General features: G+C 34.6%; 1 annotated feature.

Annotated features, from left to right (window-relative positions):
* Nucleotides 2198-2699: an enhancer, noted in NCBI's record as "OCT4 hESC enhancer chrY:13420602-13421103 (GRCh37/hg19 assembly coordinates)". NCBI's record gives its function as "activates a minimal SCP1, AML or CMV promoter by ChIP-STARR-seq in naive H9 embryonic stem cells {active_cell/tissue: H9 hESC(naive)}" and the evidence as "EXISTENCE:reporter gene assay evidence [ECO:0000049][PMID:30033119]".

Below are 12540 nucleotides of genomic sequence, written 5' to 3'. Positions count from 1 at the left end.
AACATTTATATTTTGAAGATGTCATTCTTTAAAAATTATTAATATCTACAGGATTGCTGCAGATATTTTAATTTTAAACAAATATTTTTCACTAATGTGACCAGTATTTATAACCTATTTCATTGAACAGACATTTCAAGTTTCTTTTAGAGTTAATTTTTAAAAATTAAGTATCACACATATTTCTGAAGTACTACCTTAAAAAATAATACTCTTTCCTAGCTTTTCATATAGTTAAACATTTTCATAATGACTAAAAAGATAAAAATAAATTAACAACCATAATTAAATTAGAATTCTACTTTTTATATAAGATGAAATACTATATAAAATGTCCAGAAAATCTAGTGTTAATGAGGCTGTGCAGCCTGGACATTTGATGTCTCATCTGTGGGAATGTGAACTAACCCAACCATTCTGAATAATTATTGGCTCTGTGTGTTAACAGTCTAGAGTCCTGAAACAAGGATCTTAATTCTAAAATAAAATCCTATTCTAAGAATATACCAAGGGTTGATAATCAAGGAAGTTTCACAGTTATAGAGAAGAAACTTCATCCTAGCATTATATATGTAGTCATCCATATAAACCAGATAGTGTTGAATGAAACTGTGGAAAAACAAAGAGCCTACAGAATATGTTTCTCTTTGTGTACAACTGTAAATGTACACATCTATCCATGTAAAATTTCACATCTCAGGAGGATAGGTACCAACATGTTAACATGCTATAGCTATAAGATAAGAAATTTTACTTTCCTACAATTTCATACACACACACACACTCTCAGACACATACACACACACCGAGGATATATACGCACACAAATATATATATAAACATACATGTTTATATAGGTACACACACACATACATATACACTGATGGTCAACAACTTATAATGGTTCAATTTATGATTTTTTTTACTTTATGATGAAGCAAAAGTGATAGCTTTGAATAGAATATAACCATTCTGCTTTTCACTTTCAGTACAATATTCAACAAATTACATAAAATATCCAATGCTTTATTATAAAGTGGGTTTTGTATTCAATGATTTTGCCCAATTGTCAGCTGATATAAGTGTTCTGAGCACATTAAAGGTATGCCAGGCTAAGCTGTGATATTCTGTAAGTGAGGTATTAAATACATTTTTAACTTACTGTATTTTCAATTTATAATCAGCTTATCAAGACTTAACCTCATTGTACATTGAAAAGTATTTGTATTGCATTAAACATGTTATATAATATTTTTAATTGAAATTACTTGCAACTTTTGAAAAAATGTAATGAAATAATGTGCTTTGCTATTGGTTAAAATGTTTTTGGGCAGGGTCAGTGGCTTACACCTGTAATCCCAGCACTTTGGTAGGCTGAGGTGGGCAGATCACTTGAGGTCAGGAGTTTGAGACCAGCCTGGCAAACAGGGTGAAACCCCATCTCTACTAAAAATACAAAATTATCTGAGTGTGGTGGCATGTGCCTGTAATCCCAGCTACTAGGGAGGCTGAGGTGTGAGAATTGCTTGAACTAGGCAAGCAGAGGTTGCAGTGAGCCAAGATCACACCATTGTACTCCATCCTGGGCAACAGAGTAAGATTCTGTCAAAAAAAAAAAAAAGAAAGAAAAGAAAAAAGTTTTTAGCTTCAAGTAACAGAATAGTCAACTAACTGAAGAAAAAAACAAGGAGCAACTTTTACCAAATCACACAACAAATAGATGGTATCAATGCTTAGTTAATTCAACATGATCCACTTCTTTGTGATTCTCTTATCTTTCTACCTATGTTTTCAAGATGGCTATGGCATTCCCAGCCTTACAACTTCATGTGACAAAATCCAATGGCAGGAAATAATAAGTGATGGCATTTTGGAACTTTAAGGAAAAACTTTAAGGATTGGAAAACAGGGATGCCATATGTCCAGTAACATGGGATAGCCGCTCCTAATTAAGGATTGCTGCATGTCCTGAAAGACTTTCTAATGTAATGAAGGCGAATAACCTGCTTTGTTTAATTATACAATCCCAAATGTAACTGCCTAAGTGCCAAATACTTTTGCATGGTTTTAATATGCCATGAATTTTGCAAGAACGAAACTACTATGTATATGAGAAAAGACGGTAGATTTTTTCATTTAGATACTCATTTCAGAGTCTCAATAGGAAAAATAGAACACACACAAACTAAGATAATTTAACATGGGTTTATTTCCAAAGAGACTACTTACGAAAATGTCAGGGGAGAAGGGTGAAGGAATCACAGAAATCACACCCCACAATAACTCTGGGTTAGTAGCAGCAGGCAGAGTTCTTGAGAGTAAACTGCCCTGATCACACAAGGAAACACTAATTTTCTTATGAAAAAGATTGGTCAAGGAGACCTAGCAGAGAGGGAGTTTAGGCAATAACCCCCAATCCCATTACCTCCTTCCCTTTAATCTCATGAACATGCATAGAAGGCAATGAGCAAGGGAACCGATTGAGATATTCAATATGGACCATTCCACTTGGACAAAAGCCAGTAAATAGGGGAGTATAACAGGGGACAAGGGCCAAACAGAAAGTATCTATTACATTTACCAATGCAGATCAATCATGTCAACAATAGAAATGGCAGTTTTGGCATTTGGTTATTCAATGAAACTATATCTGTAGCTTTTTATTTACAATGTATCAAAGTATTGGTGAAGATATGAAAATTTCATTATGTTCTATTGTATTTGATATGTAAATGTTCTGGCACAATTATATACATTTTGGATTATATATTGACAGTAAATTATTTCTCCTTTGTTAGCTTCAGCATAACATTAATATTTTCAACAACTTGAATGCATACATTGTGTTCTCACTAATAGTTTAGAATAGCGAAGGGGTCTTTGAAGAGTTTCTTGTGAAGTAGAGGCATTGGGTCAGACAGAGCTGAAAACCATTGGCTTAGATTAATCACTATTTATCCTAGGGCTGAAGAGGGCCAATTGAAGACACAAATGTAAAATCCCTCTATGACCTTGGAGATCTATGAACCAGAGAAATAGAGACTGGTTCTTAAGGAGGTAATAAGTGTGCCTTCTATGGTTTATAATAATATGCATTGTCTTAACAATCGAATACTTAAAAGTTAATGCCCTCATAATATGCAAAATTTTTAATAAGCACATTGGTCCCTGTGTTCAAGTAGTTGGTAATCAAATTAGTGAAGTATGGTAAGTCTTTTGAAGAGCATTAAACAGCAGAGAATGTAAGAAATTTGTCTCTATAGTAGTGTGGGTCTTCTGTGTTTCCTAAGGGCACATTCATATGATCTAATAACTGAGCAGAGAGAAGCCTAAAGGATAGTTTATGGTTTCATTTGTTTGTTTTTGCTAATTAACATACATTTCTAGATTAAAAGTCAACTATCTTTTCCTTGGGAGTCAACTATAGGAGAAGATAGTGAAGAGGCAAGGAAAATTACAGCAGCTCGACAGCTTTACCCTGGAAATATCTGTATTGTGTATCGCTATAGCCTACCTTTATCAGTCACATAACAATGCTAAAGAGACAAGCTTGGCACCATTGCTCTTAGTGAATCCCTGCTGCCAGCCTTTTATCCTAAGTGCTCTCCAAAGACCCATTTAATGGACCTTCCTGAAATTGTGCTCAGGATCAATATGAGGCTCATTGATACAGCATTTTTGGAACTCACAATTTACTTATTTATTAAACCTGGGATAGTTGCCCGACTTCTATCATCTGAAATCCTCTCCATGACTTTCAAAATTACCAACATTGGTTCCAACATCATTCCTAGAAAACATTTCAGTGGAGTATATTTATCTGACATTTGACTGTATTTATAGCAGTAAGAATCTATGATGATTCCTCCCAAAATAATCCCACAATTACCCATTTTGGGTCACCTTTGAGGGTTTTACCCTTACTATCAGAGATCTGTTCTATACATTTGAGTCTTAGAAATAATTACTAGCTTCTCTCTGAATTTAACTGAAGTTCCTTACTTTTATTCAACCTGTTACCCAAATTACATAATGTATTGAAGGCTAAAAACTGTCCAAATTTCTGATTACATTTAGATAAAAATGGGAATATGACTTTTTCTTTTTCTAACTTGGCAAAGATTATGTTTTTTTTCATGAAGAAATATAGGCATATTTAAACACTTAGGATCTGAGAATTTGAAATACATGAAACTTAGCAAGTGGTCTTTAAATAGTTTTCATTTCTAAATTATAGTACATACCATTGAATGCTACAGAAGGAAAGACAATGAGGGATTACTCATAAACATTGCCTTTATGATATCCTTCCAAAGAAAACCAATGCCCCTGTGCTTGGACTCATAAAGCAGAAATGCTCACCTTGCTTTTATGTCACTAACAAACAATTGTGCCTAGTCAATTAGTTCTAACGCATATAAGCCATCTTGAGAGTGGAGCCCCTAGGGAAAACTACAAATGGAAAATTCATTGATTTTTGACTTTGCTTTCCTATGGATTAAATTTAACACTTTCTTGTAAATCTCTCCCTTTACAGATCATATGTGATAAATAGTTATCCAACTTTCTAGATGTCCACCCAGAGCTGCTTCCATATGAAGAGATGGAAACGGATTCTGTGCATGATACTGGTTAGGATAGGAAACTGTTTTTTTAAAGGAGATTTTTAAAATTTGTTTTCCTTGTACACATAGCCTTAATATTGTGTTGCTAACTGCCCTCTGGGAACAAAGTCATACCAATCACAAATACATTGCCTAAAGCGGGAGGTTTATTACTCTGCTGTGAATTCCATCTCCTATTATGTTTTAAAGATGCTACAAACTTGAGACATTACTATGTAGATGACATTCCCAGCAAATCCCCAAACAACACTTAATGAGATTTCAAATACCAGGATCATGAAACAGTAAGAGATATAAGGAAATAAAGAAAAGCACAGTATATGTGTAGAAGGCATTAAAACACAAATTTTATAATTATGAATGCATATAATAAGGAACAAATTTTATTCTAAATAGCAATTAAATCAGAACTACGATACAGGGAATACAAGTGAATATTAAACCATTGTACCAACAATAACAGAGCCCTTTTTCTGCTGCGTGATGGAATTTAGTGTTTACTAAGGAAGAAAAAAATGCAAGATATCTTAAATTTGGTACTTTCCAACAAACTTAAGAAATGTGTACACACTTGAGGAGACTTAAGAAGTCTCTGACTAAAACACTAGAAAAGAAAAGCAGTGAAAAGCCAAATAAGTATTACTCAACAATAACAACATTTGTTACTATTATATTAATATTAAACACACTATTAAGCAACAACATTTCAGTTACTCACTGAGCCCAAAATCATTTTTCATGAACCATTCACAACACTGATAACCTATTGAAAAATGATTGAAAACAAAAAAGCTTATTGCTTTCCAAGTCCTTTTAAAGCCTTCTCATGTGTCATTTCATATAATCCTTATAAAGAATCTATAGAGTATATACTGACTTTATCTCTGTACAGAAAAGAAAACTGAGTCATATTCAGAATAAGTTGCAAAGTTCCCCAGATAGTCAGTGTCATAGGTGAAATTTGATGTCACAGTGTAGTCAAGTGTAATTTAGGGAAGCAGTACAAATGATGGTTGAAAGCACAGGTTCTGGGGTAAATAGCCTGAAGTCAAAATCTAGTTCATATCCTCAGTGGCTGTGTGATCTTGGGAAATTTCCCTTAACTCTCTGTGTCTTGGTTTTATAATTTCATCCATTTTTGCCTCTCATATGAGCTGGTGAGCATTACACTAGTTTATGCTTCTAGGACACTGAAAACAGTACCTGGCTCTTGATAAATATTAACAATTTTGTTTCATTTTCTTCACCTTGAGTATTTCATGGCCAGATGGAAATCAATGTCAATATGAAAAAATGTTCATAATTCAGCAGGAAGAAATACAAAACCATATAAACAACTTTGTTTTACTGGCAAGTGTATTTGGAAGCTATGTTGAATTGAGAAGGGGAAGCCTCTAAGGATATTGATTAATCAATAACCAAAAGCTGATGAGACTTGTCTGGAATTTTTTTTTGGAGACTCTGAGACGTAAAATTTTGACAAACTAAGGAGATGAATTGAATAGTGTGGAAGAGACATTTTCTGAAGTCAGCAGAGAAAGGAGAGACAAATATGGTAAGGGGAAAGTGGTATGAAGTAATAATATCTATGAAGTGTTTTCTAAAGTATAACACATGTAAGTTGTGTTAAATGTAATCTATCATGATTATATCATTACTGTCTGAATGACACAACTATATCCACCTCAGTTAGCCACATAAGATCAATTTTCCTATACCTTAGAGAATACCAGTAACCTCCAGTTCAGAAACAGCATAAATACCTATCCACGGCTGAGCAGACACATACAGCTAGCTACCAGATGAAATGGGCTATATCTTCAAATACTATTGTTTTCCGTTTTTTAACTGTGGCAAAACACACTCAACAATTTGCATCTTAACCACTGTTAAGTATAAAATTCAGTGTCATTAAATGTATTCACAATGTTGTGCAAGCATCACCACCACCCATCTCCATAATTATTTTTGCCTTGTAAAATTGAAATCCTGTACCCGTTAAAAAGTGACTCCCCATTCCCCACCCTCCCAGGGCAACTACAGCTTTACTTTCTGTCTTGATGAATCATACAATATCAAATGGAATTTTTAAGATATTTAAAATCTTTTGTCTGGAAGCGAAGTGGAAGTTAATATCAATGGCTATGCCTTCAGTGAGTTCTCAGACCACATTACAATGTAGTTAACTATTTATCTTTTATTACATTCTAGATCTATTATTTCTTTCTGGCACAAAAATATCTTCTTTGTACATTATGGCATTTACCTCTATCTCCACACCTTTATGCATCTGTCATCCACAGATCATCAGCCTCTTGCTTAGTCTCCATTTAATGACAATTTCTATTTAGTATACAACAGTCCTTCCCCCTGCAATGCAATTTCTTCACTCTGAAAAGCTCTAACTCTAGCTACTGGTCTGTGTTATGTACTCATCCCTAGAGCCATGTCTTCAAATATTTCTCAGAACTTCTTCACATCTAAAAATCTAGGATTAATTTATTGCTCTCTGATTATATTCTTCTGGTATTTCAAGTATCATGTATAACTTCTTCATCTGCCCTTGCTTTTCTTCTACATCAAGATGTCAAGTTCATGGACTTCCCAATTAATCATTTTAAAAATTTATTTCAAGCCTTTATGAGTCACTACAATATACATATGTTCTCAGGAATTATGGCCCTACAATTTGTATGTGAGAATAGTTCCTGTGTCAGGCATTATGGACATAAGTGTAAATAAATTCTAGCCCCTGCCTACAAGGAGCTAATTCCCAGCCTAAGACAGATTGCAAGCCAATAATTTGCAGAGTTGTAAGTCTAAGGAAACTGATTGGGATGTACCTAATTCGAGCTGGGAATATCAGAAGAAAAACTTTTTGAAAGTCATGAGACATGAGCTGTGCCTAAAAGAATAAAAAATAGAGAGAGAAATAAGAATAAATAAATTAGGGAATGAGATGGGTATAATAGTAGAAAAAGGAAATCTCTTTAGATAAAACAGGTTATGAGAGTATATAGGAGGCTTATTAACTCAGTGTGGTTGGAGAAAACAGGTTAAAAGGAGAAATAGGAGAGACAGTTACAAAGAGAATCAAATGTGTTAGTAGTTGAGGGAAAAGCAAATATTGAATACGACCCATAGATCTTGGATAACCCAGTGTTTGGTAGTAGCTTACATAAAAGGTTGTGACAAAATAACCAGAGATATGCGGAGAAAATAATAACTGAGTGTTATATTTCCTCTCAGTAGAAACCTAAAAAAAAAATGTAATCACACCCTGATCTTTTAACTGACCTCCACTTATCTTGCTGCCTGGATTGGTATACATATTCCTCTGCCTGAAAAATTGCTCAACACTTTTGAAAGGTTGTTTCTCACTGTTACACCCAGGCATTTCTGCTAACACCAGCTGAGTTGTAAGGGGCCCTCCAGGAGGCCTAGGTTGTTCCCCTTATCACATACATTATTGTCATTTATTAATTTACCCAGAACATCTAATGAAACACTATGGACACCAATAACATGAATACAAATATAGCTATAGACCCTAAAAAGTAAATTGATGTCTCTTGAAAGGCTGTCATGTCTTAGATGCTAAATTTGGAGTATGTGTTTCTAATAAATAAATAGCATGCTTTAATAATTCTGATTTATGATTGTAATATAGGGGAGCAGCTCTTATTTCGCCCTTAATCTTAAAAAACAATTAGCCAGGTGTGGTGGTGGGCACCTGTAGTCCCAGCTACTCAGGAGGCTGAAGCAGAAGGATGGTGTGCACCTGGGAGGTGGAGCTTGCCGTAAGCCAAAATTGTGCCACTGCACTCCAGCCTGAGTGACAGTGTGAGACTCTGTCTCAAAAAAAAAAAAAAAAAAAATCATACAAGGAGTAAATGATGATTTAGCATAAAACACAACTTTAGCCTAAAACACAGATCATAGGGCTCAAACTTTGTTATTTTATGGGATTATACTAACCAGTTATTATTCAAAATTTTCCATTTCAAAAGAAGAAATAATGGTCTGGGAAAATTGCAATTGCTTATACAGAAGAATGGAGGAAGCTTTTTGAGAACAACAGTTCTAATGATCTTCCTTATCACTGGTTCCAAAACCAAGCCCATGGAAGGCCTGCATGGGGATAATGTGGAGAACATGTAAAAGAAATACACATCACCAGCTCCTCAACTCAGAGCTCCAAGGGAATGGCTAAGGAAGCTGTATTTTCCTAAGAAATTTGAGACTGTTTTGACTTACAATAAATCCTGGTCAATCATATGTATGTATACACACACACCCACACACCCACACACACAGACGGTGTTGTCAGTGAAGCCTCTAACAATGCATCTTGACTGGACAGATTTGACAATTAAAATGGCTGGAAGAAAATAGGCTTCATAAGTGGCACTTACTATTCACATTACACATTAAAAGGACATCTCCTAAATTAAATCTTGTCTATGATAAAAGGGCAGAAAATCATGACCCAAGGCTCATTTATAATGGCAGAAATGTTCAAGGTAGACCAATGCTTGCTATGTTTAGGAACTGACAATAAAGTACAGGTCTTTATAATCTACCATTTTGCCTCATTTGACACCAGGTGACCTTCATAATGCAGGCAATAGAGAATTGCAAGATTTGTTAGAGATTTCAGGTCTTTGGAAAGCTATGCTCTTTCACAAGAACAGCCATGGAAACAGGAAGAAAGTCAATTCTCACTTAAGGTAATCAGAATTTACAAATATTCCTTTCTTCATTGAAATCTCAATAGGCACTTCAATATTATATTTAATTAATTCTTTTGTTACAATCATGCATCACATAACAACATTTTGGTCAAGGATAGTGCACATGTATGAGAGTGGTGCAATAAAATCATAACACTGTACTTTTACTGTACCTCTTGTATGTTTAGACATGTATAGATACACTTACTGTATAGATATTAGTAACTATAGATATACTTAACTGTTGTGTTACAATTGCCTACAGTATTCAGTACAGTAACATGCTGCACAGGTTTGTAGCCTAGGAGGAATAGGCTATACCACCTAACCTAGGCATATAATCAGCTATAGCATCTAGGTTTGTGTAAGTAAACTCTGTGATGTTCATACAATAATAAAATTGTCCAGCAATGCATTGCTCAGACACACCCCTGTCATTAAGTGACACATGACTGTATTAGTTAACACTATGGGAACATCATGGGAAATGGACACTGCAGCTCCACCATAAATAGAAACTGTTTACATCAAAAAACACATAAAAGCATAGTTTCAAGATTACAATTCCTTCCAGATATTTCATTTAGTATCTCCACAGATCACTCACTGCCTGAATAGCATTCTTGTGTCTCCACTGCCTCACATTTGATTTCAGGTCATTCCATCAATTGTCAAAGACGCATCTAACATTAACTTTCCAACTACTGGTTTGGATTCTGTCAACATTGTCATCCTGGGCCACAACAACACAAAAGGCTAACTCAGTGAGGTAACATAGACACTGATCAGTGAGATTTTGCTGATGGGTGGTACCATTTTTTACTAAGATCAAGGGTATTCATACCTTCAGGCATCTAGATAACATTGAAAAGGGCAGGTTCATAGATAAAAAGGGAAAGAGGAAGGGGTTTTGCAGTATACGTGAGCTACCGTGTCTCCTGTTTAACCTTCGTCTGAAAAGATTCAAAGTGCAGGTGCCATGAATGCCTCTTTAATAGTTGAAGGTCGATTGATTTTCTGGGCTACATTTCCCAGCATTCAAATTGCTAAATGCATATAAACTACTACTGAATATTTATTACCTGGATTTGTGCTTTTGAGTGACCTTATCTATAGTTATGTGCTTCAGTGATCCAACTTGGGGTGGACTCCAAACTTTGATAAATTAAAGACCCTGCTTATTCCTTGAGTAATGCTATACTGACAACTGATTTAGTGAATGCCACTGTGAAAATAATAAACCTCTTGGTGAATATATTTAGACATGTCTTGTAACCTGTACACATCTTAACCAGGGATGTTACTTGGTCTTTCTATGTTCAGGAGTGTGTGGAGATAGAAAAACATACAGGATTGTAATTGTTTCCTGTGAGACTAACAGAAAATTCAAGCTAGTGAAGTATGTTTATGCATGGCACACTTCTCACCAGCAATTTTAGGAAGTTCTACCCACAATCCATGTCTTTTGATATGTGTGTTACCTTGGAGAGAGAAAAAGAAACTCTGAACACAAGCACGAAATACTTTAGAATTTTATCTAGAGTTGGACTTGTCCAAAAGATTTTGTATAAACTTGCTTGATGAGCAACTGTTGTCCACTGGTACCTTCACTGTACAATCCATACACAACCAAACTTCACAACTGGACACCTAAATTTGCACTTTGTTTGGTAAAGTTGAATGAAAAATGTTGTCTTTTAAGCTTATGCTCTCTTATGAAAACTGTTATTAGATGAATTTTACTCCAAGATATGCCAGTTAAGAAATAACTTCCAATTCAATTTCACCAGCTGCCTGTGGGTGGACTAATTATTCATACATCACACTTACTCTGGTGGTGAAATGCCTCAAAAGAAGGTCTCCAGAGTGTTGCTCTACCTAGAAGGACAAGAATGAAGAGACGTAAAAATCATTCATTAAGAAGGAAGATTTTCCTTGCCTAGATTTTCACTTGTAGGATCCAATTAATTTTATCATTTAATATTTTTTCCTGTTGGGCATTCATTTTACAAATTTGTAAGGTCAGTATAAATGGAAACTTTTGGAAACCGAACTGTAAATATTCTGTAGACATTGACAGAAATAGCTATTTGGAGCTGTGCTTTTGCCAACTAGACACTCTGAGAAAATCTGTGAGAGGATATTTTCAGGAAGTCATTGAACCCCCTAAAAATCAAGTTTATTGCTTTTACCATAAATATAAGTAATTAATTTATTATCAACCACTTTCAATATTCCAATAAGTAACCTTTATTGTTTATTTCATTGACATGATCTACATAGACACACAATTTATCTTCTTTTGCGATACATTCAGAAAATTTGCTGCCTGGAAAAGACATGTTTTAAAATTACCACCTGTTTGATGACTTTTTTTTGTACTTTAAGTTTTAGGGCATATGTGCACAACGTGCAGTTTAGTTACATATGTATACATGTGCCATGTTGGTGTGCTGCACCCATTAACTCGTCATTTAGCATTAGGTATATGTCTTAATGCTATCCCTACCCCCTCCCCCACTCCACAACAGGCCCTGGTGTGTGATGTTCCCCTTCCTGTGTCCACGTGTTCTCACTGTTCAATTATCACCTATGAGTGAGAACATGCAGTGTTTCATTTCAACTTAAGTATCTATCTCTATTTGTCCTTTCTTTTCATTTCCATCCTAGCTCTATCCCTTGTCTCCTTCGTGTGTCTCAGTATAAGTGCCCTATAACATTTTATATTTCTGGAAACCCTTCAATATAAAGTTATTACATGTAAAAATAAAAAGTCTGTTTTAGTGAACTATTTCTTCACAAATTATATTTTCCTACTTCTCTATTAGACAATTTTTGTAGGCTCCATATGCTATTAATTTACATTCACTTTTAGAAGAATTTTCATCAAAAGCAAAAGTCTTAGGTAAATTAATTGTATGCTATTTATACTTCTATGTATATATACACACATAGCCACATACATATATGTAACTCCAGAGGCCTGCCTGGACTGTTTAATACCTGTATTGAACAACAGCAAGAAACAGCTATTCAAATTTCAAACAACAAATTGAACTGAAGACCTCACATCTTTGAATTAAATAGACACTAGTAGCCTTTAAAAATTAAACATTTCTACTGTTTTAAAAAATTATAGCCATCATAGTATGAGGAAAAAATGTAATAATCTTTTTTAATTC

Source organism: Homo sapiens, chromosome Y (genome assembly GCF_000001405.40).
Source record: "Homo sapiens chromosome Y, GRCh38.p14 Primary Assembly".
NCBI lineage: Eukaryota > Metazoa > Chordata > Mammalia > Primates > Hominidae > Homo > Homo sapiens.
This window is presented reverse-complemented; position numbering and strand designations above follow the sequence as displayed.